Below are 17,314 nucleotides of genomic sequence, written 5' to 3'. Positions count from 1 at the left end.
CACACCATTTCACTACAGCCTGGGTGACAGAGCAAGACCGTGTCTCAAAACAAACACAAACAAAAACAATCAAACTTGAGTATGCATCAAAAGCAACAAGAGGGCTTGTTAAAAACAAAGGCTGCTGAGTCCCAACCCAAAGTTTCTGGCACAAAAGTTTTGGGGTGAGCTCAGTAACTTTCATTTTTTACAAGTTCCTCATAATGCAGGGTCAGGGTGATACAGATTTCAGTACTGGGACCACACTGAGAGAGACTGCTTTAGATAAATAGTCTATGTACTTCTATTGGCTTTTCTCATCTCACTACCAACAAATTGTAAACTCTTCAACGGCAAGTATTTTATCTTTCCAACTGCTGTGCGCCCAGCATTTAAAACAGTACCAGGAACATGATAGATATTTAACAAATAATTGTGTTGTTATTCCCATTTTATTCACATGAATGAATACAAATGGGAATTCTTTACATTCAGAGAAAAATTTTTAGAATAAGAGTATGCTTAAAAGGATTCTGTTGTACCAAAGCTCATTTAAGGTACATAAACAGGAGTGTCAGTACTCATTTAGAAAGGGCTAAGTGTCTAAAATCATAATGTTGTTTATACTGATTTGATATATATACAAAACCATTTTATAGGAATTTTGGCTAGGGTTATTTTGCCTCAGGGAAATGTTGTAAGATGTATAGCTGAAAAAAAGAAATGTGAAATGAGGCATTAGGAAAACTGATCATTACCTAATGAACACAAAAGGGAGTCAGAAAATAAACGTAAAACAGGGGAGCCTCCAAGACCCATGATTCCTCTTCTGGTAAAACTTGAAATCGCTAATCAGAGCTTAGGAGATGGAAGAAATAAAATTGAAAGGTACTTTTGCAGGCGAGGCAGTCTGATTGACATATTGCAAGAGGAACAGAAACAGCTGTACTACCTTCGGGCTCAGTCGCTTTACAAGAGTGATTTTATTGAAGTTTTAATATGCCCTGCGGCCCCCAAGCCTCCCTCCCAAGCTCTACCTCATGGTCCTGTCAACCCATTATGGCAGGGGGCACCATGCAGGGACCCAGTGGGCTGCACATCAGTGACTCAGCTGCAGCTACGTAAATATTAGTACTCTCGGACCACTGAGAAACAGAGTAATAGTGACTCACAGACTCCCCAGCCCTTCTCTTTGAAATATCTTTCTTTGGCTTTCATAAAATGGCAAGACCATCAGGTAGAGAGCCCCATTTTTCTGACTAGCTCGCCAACACTTTGTGAACCCTAAATAGCTGAGACAAGTCTCAGTCAATTTAGGTAGTTTATTTTGCCAAATTTAAGGATGTGCACCTGTGACACAACCTCAGGAGGTCCTGACAACATGTGCCCAACATGGTTGGGAAACAGCTTGGTTTTATTTATTTTACGGATACATGAGACCTCAATCAATATATGTAAGATATACATTTGTTCCATCCAGAAAGGAGGGACAATTCAAAGTGGGGAGGGGCTTCCAGGTCATAGGAAGGTAAGAGAAAAATGGTTGCATTCTTTTGAGTTTCTGATCAGCCTTTCCAAAGGAGGCGATCAGATATACATTATCTCAGTGAGCAGAGGGATGACTTTGAGTTCTGTCTGTCCTTTGTCTACAAGGAAATTCCTTGAGAGGGAGGAAAGTAGCTTTTCTAACTTAGTAGCTTTCCTTTTTAGTAATAGAATGGGAGGCAAGTTTGCCCTAAGCAGTTCCCAGCTTGACTTTTCCCTTTGGCTTAGTGATTTGGGGGTCCCAAGTTTTATTTTCCTCTCACAACTTTATGTTTCTATGACTCAAAAGAGCAAAGCAGCATCACCTTTTGAACATCTGAGAGGGGTTTGCAGTCAACTGAATGTGTATGTACTCCAAAATTTGTATGTTGAAATCCTAACCCGTTGGTATGATAATGGGCAAGCCCTTTTGGATGTGATTAGTGCTCTGAAAAAAGGTTCCCTTCCTGCCGGGCACAGTGGCTCACACCTGTAATCCCAGCACTTTGAGATGCCGAGGTGGGCGGATCACTTGAGGTCAGGAGTTCGAGACCACCCTGGCCTACATGATGAAACCCCATCTCTACTAAAAATACAAAAATTAGATGGGCGTGGTGGCAGGCACCTGTAATCCCAGCTACTGGGGAGGCTGAGGCAGGAGAACCACTTGAATCCGGGAGGCAGAGGTTGCAGTGAGCCGAGATCACGCCACTACACTCCAGCCTGGGTGACAAGAGCGAAATTCTATCTCAAAAAAACAAACAAACAAACAAACAAAAACACACCCAACTCCCTTCCACCATGTGGGGACACAATGAAAAGGTATCCGTTCATGAATCAGGAAGCAGCTGTCACCAGACGTAGAATCTACCTGCAACTTGATGTTGGACCTCCTAGTCTCCAGAATTGTGAAACATAAATTCCTGTTGTTTATAAGCCACCCAGTTTATAATATTTTTGTTTCAGCAGTCAAAACAGATTAAGACAGTCCAACCTAATGGCCTCGTTTTAATTTAATCACCTCTTTAAAGCCATATCTCCAAATATAATCACATTTTGAGGCACTGGGGGTTAGAGCTTCAACATATGAATTTGGTGGGTTGGGGAGGACACAGTTCAGGCCATAACAGATGGCAACAACAAGTGAGATCTCCAAATTGAGAAGAAATTCAATTCCTTGTAATGAATTAAGACTTAGACCCAGAGAGGCAGTAACTGCCAAGAAAATTCAAGAGTCGTATAATTAGAACAATGGTCCATATAAGAAGATAACCTGGTTTCTCATGACAATACATGCACCCCCTACAGGGGACTCTCTAAGTTCTAGAGGCTGAGAAGAATTTGATTCCATATTTAGGGCATCATAAATTCAAAGGGGTGAGAAAAAATATAATATTAGGACAAAACATGTGCACGGAAGTACACAAGCCATTTGCTCCGTAGAGAAACAATATAGTGAAATGTCAGTGGACTTGGAAATCAAAAACAATATCACATAAGAGGAAAGCAACAGATTCCACTTTCAAATTCAGCTTTCCAACTTGGAATTTGAATTTGAAAGTGGAATCTGTTGCTTTTCTCTTATGTAATCTTGTTTGAGAAACGCAGGTAATCAGTTTCAATCTTTTCAATAATGTGAAAGTCCTGATAATATCTACTTCATGGGAGTAAATGAGATAATATCTATTAAATTGCCATAAAATACTACAGTTTTACAAGTGTAAGCTATTGTTAGCACTACCAAACATAATAATTGTTGCTTTTTTGTTGACAGTTTTTTTTATAAATCAGGTATTACATTAATGTCTTTACATACAAGATATCATTTAACCATAATTTACAAATAAAATCATTCAAAAGTATCTGAAATAAATGGTCAAGTCACAAAAACAAATATGTCTATCAAAAATAATTATTTCTAAGAAATGGTTTGCCAATGTTATTTAGTAGAGGCTTCCCAAATTCAGCAGATGTGAATTTACCCATAAAACAGTAATTGATCCACAGGAAATCATGACTCAAAATGTGGTATATGAAAAGAAAGCAATCCTTCATTTACATAGAATTGTCATATTTCGGGTAACTTAGTGACATGGACATTAAGTTTCATGGAGATTGGGAAAAAGGTGGGTCGAAAATGGTGAGTTAGAAATGAAGAATAGAGGCCAGGCACGGTGGCTTACACCTGTAATCCCAGCACTTTGGGAGGCCAAGGTTGGCGGATCACCTGAGGTCAGGAATTCGAGACCACCCTGGCCAACATGGCAAAAATACGTCTCTACTAAAAATACAAAAATTAGCCGGATGTGGTGGTGTGCTCCTGTTATCTCAGCTATTTGGGAGGCTGAGGGAGGAGAATGGCTTGAACCCAGGAGGCAGAGGTTGCAGTGAACTGAGATCGTGCCACTGCACTCCAGCCTAGGTGACAGAGAGAGACTCCATCTCAAAACAAAACAAAAAACAAATATATTAACAGTCTATTCTATCAGACCCCTTAATTTGACTCAACCAAATCCTCAAGGACATTTTGCCCTGGATTATTGAAAATATGGGCAATTCAATAATAATTTAGATGTGGGCCTATAACATGATATGAAAAGAGCAATTTTAAAAGTTGGTTTTGAGGTCATACACAGATGGGTTTGTGGGCAAAGGGTGAGGACAACTTCATAGATCAGACGTCATCTGAGCTGGGTTATGGAGCTAAATAGGAAGCATTCTTGTGAATAAGTCAAGAAACAACATTACAGAAGAATGTTCACATTGCGGAGGTTTGAAACCACTGGGGAAGAGCTGGGTCTTTTTGCAGCTTAACTACCTCCTATCCCTCTGTGTCCCTCCACTTCTTCCTCTGTGCCCTCAGGGGATTGTCTTTACATAGGCATTGCACAGCCCTTGCCTTTCCTAAGATTTAGAATCAGTCAATGGGAGGCACTAGGCATCCAAAGCACACTGGAAAAGAGAAAATTAAGGCCAGGGATGCAGTCCTTCGACTTTTTTCCTGTCACATTACTTCAGGTTGGCTTTGTCACGTGACCAAAACAGCTCTCACTGAGCAGCCTTAAATCTCTTTATCCTGGTAATGGTTCCTTCCTCTTTTCCCTTAGGCTCAGGAGGGTAATTAATAGCTCCTCCTTGATGTTAGCCCCAGGGGACTGCAACTTCACTTTCTGGTTTCCTTTCACCCTGTCCATATTTGAACAGAATAGTCTTTTTGTAAAACTTTCCTTTGTTACTCTCAGTTAAGTATACCATTTATATTCTGATGAGACCCCCCATTGAAATATTTACGTAACATCACAACTAAAGAAAAATCAAAAATTCATTCTGTGTAATGTCTGGCCAGTCCCCCAAACCCAGGTTTAACTGATTTGATTTTTTTTCTATTCTTTCTTCCCTCCTTTCCCATTGAGATGAATGGACATTTGATATTACCAAGAATATGCATAATGACTTGGAAGTTACCATTTGAACAATTGACATTCTTGAGGTAAGAAAACCATTTCACATCAAAATTTACTATTACTGAAGAATAGACTTTATATTCATAAGTCTGTAAAAGTCCTCAGAGATCATCTAATATTACCCAGCAGTGCCAAAGACTGGCTCATAATGGATACCACCTAGACAGCTATCTAGAAATATATATCTTCATTTCCCAAGCTCACGAATATCGCCTGCATCAGAATCTCTCAGGGCAGCATCAGAATTTTATTTTATTTTATTTTATTTTATTTTTTAATGTCTAGGTTTCCTGACCTATGATTCTCATTTAAGGGGTGGGAAATCTAAAGACTACAGAGGTTCTGTAACTTTCCAAAGCTCAAATAACAAGACAGAGACACATGAGAATGAGATCCACTTTTCCTGACTTCCTGTTGTTGAGGGAAAGGAAAATTAAGAAATGGGGAAAATCTATGGACATGTTAGAGAGACAGTTAATGACCTCATTTGGTAAAGTATATCCTTGAACATAAATTAAGAAAAACAGGTTGTGTTTCCCAATCTCCAAAATGTTAAATTCGTCAAATTATCTCCCGTACCTTACAAAGATGTTAAGGCTCTTGTCATTTTGGGCCAGGCGCAGTGGTTCACGCCTGTAATCACAGCACTTTGGGAGGCCAAGGCTCTTGACCCAAGGTCAAGAGTTTGAGACCAGCCTGGCCAACACGGTGAAACCTCGTCTCTACTAAAAATTAAAAAAAAAAAAAAAAATTATGTGGGCGTGGTGGCGCGCTCCTATAGTCCCAGTTACTCGGGGAGGCTGAGGCAGGAGAATCACTTGAACCCGGGAGGCGGAGGTTGCAGTGAACCGAGATCATGCCACTGCACTCCAGCCTGGGCGACAGAGGGAGACTCCATCCCCCCCCGCCCAAAAAAAATCCAACTCTTGTCATTTTGGTATGGACCTTTTCGTTCAGTTGTTTCCTACAATGATGTGAAAATCAGCAGTTCCCCAATTTTATTTACATACTAGGATTCCAATTCCACAGGAAGGACTCTGTGTTCTGATAAATGATGGAAATAGTCATTTCATAAATCAGATGATAACCTCAAGCTATGGCTTTGAAGTATCACTGATGTTTTCCAACTCATTTCCTAAGGAAAGAAAGCCCGCCAAAGCACTCCAAGAAGATAAACAATATTTGGCCAGTGGAAATCCGGAGTCTAAAGACAATTAACTGATCAAATATTTTCTATCAGAAAATCATACAAAATCACCTAGTTTATAAAAGAGTTTCTCCCACTACAGTCCTTTTAACAATAAGGTATTAATTTATTTTCTCTTTGCCAGTAAAGTAAGAATACACCAGAAAAAGGGAAGCAACCTGTTAACTTCAGCAGGGATGAACTTCAACTCCTGGTAACTTAAAGCAGATATTTTTTGGCTTCCTCCGCTATCTAAAACCAGAGCAACAAGAAGATTCTCCAACAGCAAAATCTTATTTACAGTTAACTAGTTTATCTTATCCTCTGCTAGCTTTCTCTCTATCAATTTAGGTTATCTGAGCACGTAGAAAAGTCAGCCCTCGATTTTCCAAGGGCAAACAGGAAAGTATAGTCACTCTTCTGACCATTGTCCTAGGATCTGTAGTATTTTTAATTAGTATTGTGATTAACCTCATTGTGATCAGCTGGGGCTAACGTTTTTATTCATCTCCTGACCCCTCTAGCCTCGGAACTCTTCGAGTTTTTAGTTGCAGACATCTTCAGTATGATTTTCAGGTCCCTAGTAACTTCAAAACTTCTCTATACAGACTTTTGTTTCTGAATTTATAAAATAAATGTGATGATGCATTTTATAAGAGCGCTATGACCGGGTATGGTGGCTCACACTTGTAATCCCAGCACTTTGAGAGACCAAGGCAGGAAGATTGCTTGAAGACCAGGAGTTCAAGACCGTTCTGGACAACACGGGGAGACCCCTGTCTCTACAAAGAAAATAAATAAAGACCATTAGTTTCAGTTGCATATTTCTTCAGTTAAATGAAAGTAGGCAAATCAGACGTAGTATTTTGGGTCAGTATTTAGCAATGGGTTATTCATGTTTAGTTGTAACATGGTACTTAAAAATGTATTTTCACCCAATAACAGAACACCATAGAAATTAGAAATAATGTAATTTAGTATGTTAAAACCTTAATTTCTCTCATTTAATTTTCTCATTATTTGTGGGTTTAAAACCCCATACTCCTTTGGAATAATCTCAGTTTATTTTAAAAACTTTGGATGGTGTTATAAGCGATACTCTACCTTAGGCTTGTGATTAAAAAGAGGATATTTGAGTTCTAAAATCTTTAACAGTATATCAATAGAGGTTAACACACTGTGCAAACTATAAAAAAAATCTATGAACATTAGGGTGCAGTATCTCTGTGACTTAATTTGGGAGTTTTGACCAAAAATTGCCTTATTGGCCACTGGAGGTCACCATTGTTCTCTCTAAACTTTGGAAACAGAAAAAACAAGAGGCTGAAAAGCATGGGTGGGTATAGAGGTGGGGAAAATATTTTTCCCTAATGGCGTTATTAATAACATTGAGAAACTTAATGGGCTGTTTTATGTGGCAAATTTCTGTTTTATCCCATTATTGATCTGTGATAAATGCAATAGGAATGCTTTCAACATTTTAAGATTCCCTTTAAATTCTTATAATTTGTCTGATTTCAAATGACAGAAATGAAATTTAAATTGTTTTAGAACTCTGAGTTTTAAGTGTTTTCTCTTTTTGCATTATAACTGAATCCTAACTTTCATTCTTAGAATGTTTTACAAAAATAAAATTGATCACGAATCATCTCATTTCTCCAGCATCTTAGGTTGGATTTCCTAGGAACAGAACCTGTGACAGGAATTCAGGTGGAGCTGTTTTAGGTAAGGAGCGCCTTCAAGAGAAGAAAGAGAAGAGAATAGGACAGGGAGGGGAAGGAGCTAAGCAGGAATGTGGTCTCAGCTGAAGAGGAGGTTCAGCCTCAATCCATGGGGAGCAGAGCTCTGGAGCATAAATTGCACCTCATGGTGGGTCCTGCCTTGAGGCAAATGCTCCACCATTTTCTCCCTGTCAGCCTGTCATTAGCTGTGGGTTGTAGAAGGCTGGGGTGGGATGGACATAACCCCTCAGGCTTGAAGAAGGAAATTCTCCAGAGATGGGGTAGGTGTGCGCTGTGAACAGCTGTCATCTCAGCAACTGATGGGGGGGTGCCATAGCAGGTGCAGTGGATCTGGGTTTGGCAACACCACCAACATCCACAAAGAGAAGCAAAACCTTCAGTTATTAACCTCTGAGTTAATCAAAAGTAACCACTTGATCAATTTAAGAGAGTATCTGTGACAAAGCCATTTTTCTTCTCTTTAATTATTTATTAATCAAATTAAAAGGAGAACTCACTTTTTCCAAATAGGAGAAAGCTAGATTTGATGGCTTGTTCTATCTGTAGTGCAAAATAAATACATAAATAAAAATAAAAACTAGTAACTGGACTTTTATAGGCCTCTTTTTTGAATATATAAGTAAAATTACAGCAATTTTTAAAGGTATAAGAATTAGAAATTTGTTTTTAATATAAAAGATACTAATATGTCAAGATTTATTAATATTATAAGTTCTATAATTGGCACAGTACTACTTCCCATTTTATTTGTAGGGTAGAATTTCAAAACTACTGAGGCAGGAATAACTGGCAAAGAGGGAGCATTTCTACTCTGCAAGATGCAATCTTGGTCCTTTGCATTTGGAGTCATTTTTTACCCTCCCAACACTTGTCTGCTAGGCAGACAATGTGATTTCTCTTTCTTCTGGGAAGGAACTAGGCCCAGCAATTTCGAGTGACACCTAAAATTGTGCAGCTGCTAGGTAAGAGCCAGGATTTGAACACAAAGCTGAAATATTTCCACTAGCATCAGGTGTTGAATTGCTCTATTTCAATCTTCTGATCAGTAAACCGTCTACCTAATTTGGACAAACAACTTACAATGAGAGCATTTTTCCAGCCAATTCATCTTGGTAATAAGAGAGTTTGCTCTGTACTTTAGCTTATAGATAATTGTCCCATAGAAAGTGCCAAAAGAATATAATGGCAAAGGTTCTTTTATATTTCTGGTTTATAATTATATATCATTGTCCTCAATCCTACTACTGCTAAAGAAATTCAATTCCTCCAATGTTGTCTTTTTCAAAAACTATACAGGCTGGGTGCTGTGGCCCAGGCCTGGAATCCCAGCACTTCAGAAGGCCAAGGCAGGAGAATCGCTTGAGCCCAGGAGTTCAAGAGCAGCCTGGGCAACATGTTGAAACATCATCTCTATACAAATATACGCACAAAAATTAGCTGGACATGGTGGTGTGCACCTGTAGTCCTAACTACTCAGGAAGCTGTGGTGGAAGAATCACTTGAGCCCAGGAGGTCGAGCCTGCAATAAGCTGTGATTGCACCACTGCACTCCAGCGTGGATGACAGAGCAAGACACCCTGTCTCAAAAAAAAGACTATACAACAGAGCTCTGAAAAAGATCACACTTTCAGGTACTTGAAGAAGAGAAAAAAGTTGTTTCTATTCCTCTTGTATTCCTCCTTCCTGAATATTGTTTCCTTAGTCCTTTTTACATAGCTTTCCCCAGTTAGTTGATAATCTCTTCACCTTTTCTCTGTGTTCTCAACATCAAGGGTTAAAAACAGGTCCATGTTTCTCTTAGTGCACGTGCCCATCATGATTAAAAAGGAAGGCTTACTTCATAGATGCAAGAGCCTGAAAAGAATTACGTTTTATATTTAATCATTTCATATTGCTGCCATTTACTTTATGGCTCATTAGGAATACCAGGTCTATTATTTTCCATATATTTTTTTTTGCCAGTGTTTCGCCTATTGCTTTTCTGCTGTGTATGCGTTTTTCAATTACTATATATTATTTATTGCATTCCTCATGCTTTTTATATTACTCTTCCCAGGACTCTACTGAAACAGACTGAGGGAGGAGGTTGGGTGATGATGGGGGTAGCAGAGAGGGTTTGGCTGTTTCTTCATATGTCCTATGGGAGGTATCTGGCCTTAATTGTTGGTGAATATTTCACTGATGCCTCATTTAAATGTGGGATTCATAATACCTCTTTCATCCTCAGCCTTGGGTGCTGGCAATTAATTCCAGGGCAACAGGAAACATCACACTCAAAGTTTTGTCATAAACATATGATTTGATTTAACTTCCTTTTTTTCAGTTGGGGAAACTAAAGCTCAGAAAGTTTAAGTGACATGTCTAAAGTCACACAAATGGTGGAGGTAGAATTGATGTTGAAGCTTAGGCTTGTCTGGCTCCAGGCACCGCACATGTTCAATAACAATGACTCTACAGAGGCATAAGAATTCCTGGGATAGTGTCTTAGGAAACTTTCCTATGTGTTCTAATAGAACGTGTTAGGTGAAACATCAGCGTATAAAATATACAAAGACATCCAGGTCTACCCCTATATTTGGGGGGACAAAGCCACGAGATCAGAAGGGTGCTCCTAACCCTGCATGTCCTGCCCCTATGTTTTCTCCACATCTGGCTCTGTCCCACACCATGAGGAATCTCCTGCTTTCTCTTGGGCCTGAGGTTGCCTCAGCAGAATGAATCTGGGGAAGAAGACTCTGCAAACCCCAGCAGCAAGCAGAGGGCCACTTTGGCAGGGAATATCAGAGTCTTGAGTACCTGGCCAGAGATCTAGAAAAATAGGGATTGTGGTTTACAGATAGTCCTGTACCCTTGCCACACAGACTTCTCATAGTAAGAGAGGGCTGCAGCTGGCAGAGGAGCAGTTCGGGCCAGAACAGAGGCCCCAGTACCTGGGACTAAGGAAAGTACTGAATATGGCTCTGTAGGGTGTCCGCTTCTATAAACTGGCACATGTTTATTCTTATCAAGCCACCCAAAGTACAACTGTTAAACCTGGGCTGGGGCTAATTTACTATTATGCACCTATCTGTCTGTGGGAAACTTTCTTCTCTTTGCTGATGCCAAATATGTAGCCACTTCAGTGGGCTGTCATGCTAATGAGAGTAAGGAGTCAGTTAAAAAAAAGGAAAAAGCATCCAGAGCATTCTTTTTAGCTGCTGGCTATTAAATATATTTCTTTAATTAAATATTTACTGAGCCACTTTGTGCCAGACATTGGAGTTATGTAGGAAATAAAAATAAAGAAGATGATATTAATGCAATAATAGAAAAACACAACCTACTATGTACTAGACATTGAGCATAGTTGCAGGATATTGAGGTTACCTCTTTAACCAAACAGACGTGGTTCCTGCCCTTATGGAAACTTATAGATTTTAGGCACATAATAGACATTAAGTTAATGACTTGCACATATCAATAATTGCAGTTATAGTAAATAGTATTGAGAACTTTTGAGGTGTGTGAGAGTGTATTTTTATTTGCTGAAATGTGTTCCTCTGAAGTTCTGATGTTAAAGTACTAACCTCCAGCATCTCAGAATATGATTACATTTGGAGATAGGATATTTAAAGAGAAAACTAAATTAAAATGAGGCCGTTAGGGTGGTCCCTGGTCCAATATGATTGATGTTCTTTTTAAAAGATTTTAGGACACAGTCATGTACAGAGAAAAGACAATGTGAAGATATGAGGAGAAGACAGTCATAGAAGCCAGGGTAAGAGGGCTCCTTTCTTCGCCTCAAGAAACCAACCCTGCTGACACCTTGATCTAGTGTCAGAGGCGTTTGGACCACAGCAATTCCATCTTGAATAGGTGCTGGGCAAAATAAGGCTGAGACCTACTGGACTGCATCCCCAGATGGTTAGACATTCTAAGTCACAGGATGAGATAGGAGGTCGGCACAAGATACAGGTCATAAAGACCTTGCTGATAAAACAGTTTGCAGTAAAGAAGCTGGCTAAAACCTGCTGAAACACAGATGGTGACAAGACCGACCTCTGGTCGTCCTCAATGCTATGACAGCACTCAATGCTATGTCCCAGCACTAGGACAGTTTACAAATGCCATGTCAACATCAGGAAGTTACCCTATATGGTCTAAAAAGAGGAGGCATAAATAATCCATCCCTTGTTTAGCATATAATCAAGAAATAACCATAAAAATGGGCAACCAGCAGCCCTCGGGGCTGCTCTGCCTAAGGAATAGCCATTCTTTTATTCCTTTACTTTCTTAATAAAGTTGCTTTCACTTTACAGACTCTCCCTGAATTCTTTCTTGAGTGGGATCCAAGAACCCTCTTTAAGGGTCTGGATTGGGACCCTTTCAGGTAACATTAGGACTTCCATCATTTAGAACTGTGAGAAAATAACTTTAGTTGTTTAAACCATTCAGTCTATGGTATTTTGTTACAGTAAGTTCAGGAAACTAATATAGTTTGTAACAGGGAATCCATATCTAGTGAAGGGTGACTAGAATAAAACATTTTTGAGACCCAAAGGAAAAATAAATCTTTACCTGGACATTCAGGAGACGACGGGATGGGACAGGTGTAATTCCTGGCAGAAGGTGGCAGAACGCATGGGCAAAGCTCCTGAAACAGAAGAAGTCTGAATCATGGATGAACTGGGAAGAAAATCAAAGTTGAGCCACAGTGATAAAGGGGCTGAATGGCCTTTGAGCAGTCATTTTGGTTGGTGCAGGCTGAAGCGAGTGTGTTTCCTAGTATTTTTCAAAAAAAAAAAAAAAAAGAAAAGAAAAAGGAAAGAAAACGAAAACAAGAAAGAGTGTGAAAATTTGATTTACTTGATAGACACTCCTAGATAGTTGGAAACTTTTGATTGATGATACACATGATTTTACTTATAAATAATTGAGGCGCTCTAATATTTTAACAAGAAAATTTAACGGCAGATTCAGAATCTAGGAAGCCAGGTCTTGTTTTTATAGTGTATATTTATCGACACCTAGTGGTGGGATTCTGAGTTGTTGTAAAATACTCTTGAAAAATACTTTGTTCACAGTACAGATTTCAAGTGATTCTCAAAATGAATTTATTCATTTATTCTACAGCTAGTTACTGAACCAATTTATGTAGCCAGCACTGTTTTTTTTGTGTGTGTAATTCAACTAAACTGACCTCTATTCCCTGCTTTAACATAATGATAATACAAATTCAATCATGGCAGTAGCTTCCATTTATTAAGCACTTACGGAATACTCACCACTCAGCTAGGCAGTTTTTTAACGTTATCTCATTTGACTTTGACAACTAAGTTCAAAGCTCTTATCCTCTTCTCAGATGAGGAAACTGAGGCTCAGAGAGGTAAGATAACTTGCCAAACTCAGACAGCCATTAATTGAAGAACTGCTGTTAGGTCCTAAATGCCTGACTGTAAAGTTCATGTTCATTCCACTCTACCACACAGCATTGTAAACAATTTTTTCATAAATTCACTTAACATATATTAACTTGTTTAGTTGATATATTTATTTAAGATGTGTGTGTGTGTGTATGTGAAAGAGAGAGTGACAAAGGCTTATTATATGCCAGGGACAAATATAGATTCATGCATTCAGTCACAAAATATTTATTGAACACCTACTATTTACCATGCATATGTTGAGTGCTGGTAATATAATAGTTGGCATAAAAGACCCACTCCTTGCTGTCAGTGTGATTAGAGCCAAACAGGGTAGAGGGACATTAATCATATTAATATTAATGTATGCAAATTTCAAGCTAAGATATACTTTTGTAGAAATGACAGTTCAAGTTTGCATATTATAATGATTTGAGTGCTCTTTAAGATTCAAAAAGCGTTTCTTCTAAGATGTGCTGCTTCACCTGAGGTCTGAAGGATGAATACAAACTAAATGTGTGTGTTTAGAGGAGGGAGTGCCAGAGGCAAGCAAGTAGGTGAGAGGAGTGTTGCAGATGGCTGGGCAGCACACGCAAATGGCCTGTGGTAGCAGGGAAAAATGCACAGTGAAAGAGGAAGAGGGAAAAGCAGTAGTGTGGAGTTAAATGTGACTGGAGAAGTAGGTAGATAATGGAGAAAATTACTATGCAGCCTTGACCATTGTGCAATGTGAATAGTTTCACCAAATGTCATGGCTCCAGAACTCTTCATCTGCATCTAGATACTGTAAAGGAAACTCTTCCTACAGTGATGGGGGAAAGGAAAGTTAATATACACCCAGTTCAATTTCTGTAACACAATCTTAAAGCAAACTGGACACTGAAAAATTTACCCACACCTTTCTACTCTTACATCCCCCTTGAAGTAGAGATCAGGAACAAACCAGTCTTCCTGAATGGTAAAAATAAGTGGAAATCCAGAGGCAGTATTTCTGGTGTCAATATAAGAATATGATGGAATAAATCAAATGTTATAAACAAATTCTGGTTAAACATGTGAACACTTCCTCCTTGACACCTTGTTCCACAGCGCTCACAGAGAGTGAATGAAAGTAGTGCATGAATTCAGCACCTGCAACTGAAATATACAGGTTCTCACATTGGGCCTGACTAGGCAAATAACTCGACCCACGGAGAACAAAGAAAAGCAGGGGGTTGGTGACAGTCCACCCAGGAGCAGTGCTGAACCTAAGGAATTCCCACCCCCAGCCAAAGAGGGACCATTAGGAGTACAAAATGCAAAGGAGGAAGTGTTCACATGTTTAGCCAGAATTTGTTTATAACAGTTGATTTATTCCATCATTAACAATCCTCATCTCTCTGGTTCCGAAGATTAGAGATTTGTGCACAACTAACCCCAAGGGTTTGTTGCAACAAACAGATTCCAGATCAGGTAGACTCTGATAATAATATCTATTGGATGTGGAGACATGGGTCTAGCATTTAGAATCAATTGATAGCTTCTGCCAATTTGGGCCAAAAACCCTGACCCAGATTTATTGTAAAGCACTCTTCCTGAACAAGTTAGCAAAACCAGGAGGTGGTGTGCACAGAACAGCACAGTTTCTTTCCCACTTATCTTGTTCTAAATCCTAAACTTCTTAATATTCCATTGCACTAATAACTTCTGGATGGCTCCAATCTGCAGCCAAGACTTTACACTCTTGGAACCTAACCTGACTCTTCTGCCCTTTGCCTGGAAGTTCTTGCCTGTCATCATTTTTATCAGTTCAGGGTCAGTTCATTGTTACTCTTCCTTCTCTCATATCCTTAACTTAGTAGAGCAGATTTGACTAGTTGTCCTCTGAGTATCCATTCTCTACTTTTTTTTTAGTAATAGAACTTAAAGTAATTTGAGTCAACAATGTTCACAGCTAACAGACTGTCTTTCCTAGCATCCCTTTCAGCCAGGTACATATGACTAACTTTTGGCCAGTAGTATTAAGTTTTTGGTAACAATTTTCAGTGAAGCATCGTGGAAAAAAAATTCGTGTGCAGCTAGGAAAGTCTGATTTCCCTCTCTATTCCTTCTTCTTCCTATGTTGGAATATAGATGTGATGCCAGGGTCTGAGTTCCCCGTTTTGAACTGGAAGGTGACCATGAGGATAGAAGCCACACACAAAAGATGATAAAAGAGAAGATAGAGGAAGACTCTATGGGGATAATTTAGGAGCCCTGGGCTTTATCTCTGGATTTATTTTGCGTAAGGAAGAATTGCATTTCTTCCTTGATAGACAATTTTCTTTTCCAGTCTTTGTTTCAAATTACACAACTCATGACTTATATACTGAAAGGATGGGAAGTGATCTAATTCAGTGAAAGTCATACCTGGTGAGGGACTATCTCTGTGGGTACAAGTTGGAGGCACCTCAGGCTTTGGCTTACAGAACGGTATAGAGCCACTTTTCATTCTCAGAAATATGTACCATCCCTTTGGAATCCCTGATTTTTCTCACCTCCTCCCTGAGAATAATTTCACTATTTTGAATACGGTATTTTCAGGAAGGCCCATAGGCTGGGCCAGCTATGGCTGCCTTTCATTGCCATTTGGTTATCTGATTAAGCATTGGTGTATGCACATATATGAACTATTATGTCATAATTCAAAAAGTATCCATATTACTTTTCTGCAATGGTAAATTCTTGGGCCAGGAATGTTAACCTGTGAAGAGGACAGTATGTGTGACTTTCAGAACAATTCCACATGGTGACAGCTTCTGGCATGCTCATGTTCCTCCTGTGGACTAAAAATTGGCATCTGAAAGACATGGTAGAACTAACAAGGGATATGACGGGGCTTCAGGGAGGTGGTGGAGAAGCAGGAACGCACTCCAATTGCACTTAACATTTTCCTTCTTTAAACCACATGTCCCAGGGTTTTTACTATGATAACTGAGAAGTCAATGAAACCTCCAATAGGAGTCACAAAACCCAGAGAAAATGTTTAGTTCCCTATAATTAATAGGTTCAAGCACATTGGTGATCATAGGCACTTTTTCTGACGCAGTGATTTTTCCTTATTGGGACACTATATGCCTAGCGTGTTTTTTCACAGAGGTTTGGCAGGATTGGAAATCACCAAGGGATAATTTCAAGTCTTCAATGCCAAGACAACTGGCATCTGAAGGTGTTATTACTTGTGTCCTTTCAGAGTTCTGCCAAGAATAATTACACCACTAAACCAACTAACCCTACAAAGTAATATATATTTCTCAGTAATCTTTTCTGTTAATTAATGAAAACTGACAGTAGTCAAAGAAATAATTGAGCATCCTTTTGAGATTGAAAGAACTCACTAGATATGTATGTATGTTATCAGTTGTTTGCTTTCACTTTTGCCCTCAGCTGGCATACATATTTGATAGTACCCACTTCTCAAGATAAGCCTTGATAGTAGTCTCAAAGATACTGTGCAAGGCCGCTTGACCTCAGGGTGCAGTTTTCTGGTCTATGTTAGTGAAATCCTTTAGTGTAGAAAAGCCTTAATACATCTGTATTTTGTTATCTTTCTTATGAGCCACCATAATGGCAGATGCCTGAAGACTACTGCATGGAGAAACTGGGCAATTAATTAGTATCCAATTATTATTTTAAATTTTTTATTATACTTTAAGTTCTGGGGTACATATGCAGAAGGTGCAGGTTTGTTACATAGGTATGCACGTGCCGTGGTGGTTTGCTGCACCCATCAACTTGTCATCTACATTAGGTATTTCTCCTAATGCTATCCCTCCCCTAGCAATTATTAGGATCTTATAAGTCCTCGATTATAAGCGATGCAATCTTTTTGAGTGCTAGCTTGAAACTGGCAAACAAATATTCTTCTGCATTCTATTGGCCAGAGCAAATCACAAGGCAAACTCAGATTCAAAGGAATGAGGAAATAGCCTCTTGATGGGATGAGGTTCAAAGTTCCACTGCAAAACACATGAAACAGAGAGGCAGGAAAAACAGGAA

At 39.2% G+C, this 17,314-nt stretch overlaps 2 long non-coding RNA genes across 2 annotated transcripts in view; one reads left to right on the top strand and one right to left on the bottom strand.

The window, feature by feature from the left end:
• The window catches only part of LOC105369896 (uncharacterized), a 361,170-nt gene that overhangs the window by 262,529 nt on the left and 81,327 nt on the right, over positions 1-17,314 (top strand). The window contains exons 5-7 of the long non-coding RNA XR_001749251.2: positions 4,917-4,993; positions 7,816-7,878; positions 9,192-9,526. This is a non-coding gene — a long non-coding RNA (uncharacterized LOC105369896). The remainder of the gene's footprint in view (positions 1-4,916; positions 4,994-7,815; positions 7,879-9,191; positions 9,527-17,314) is intronic.
• LINC02823 (long intergenic non-protein coding RNA 2823) overlaps positions 6,260-17,314 on the bottom strand; it is a 41,681-nt gene continuing 30,626 nt past the window's right edge. The window contains exons 3-4 of the long non-coding RNA NR_183611.1: positions 12,453-12,656; positions 6,260-6,935 (exon numbers count right to left, since the gene is read on the bottom strand). This is a non-coding gene — a long non-coding RNA (long intergenic non-protein coding RNA 2823). The remainder of the gene's footprint in view (positions 6,936-12,452; positions 12,657-17,314) is intronic.

The sequence above is a fragment of the Homo sapiens genome, chromosome 12, assembly GCF_000001405.40.
Source record: "Homo sapiens chromosome 12, GRCh38.p14 Primary Assembly".
Classification (NCBI taxonomy): domain Eukaryota; kingdom Metazoa; phylum Chordata; class Mammalia; order Primates; family Hominidae; genus Homo; species Homo sapiens.
The sequence above is the reverse complement of the archived record's forward strand: the minus strand, read 5'-3'. Positions and strand labels throughout refer to the sequence as shown.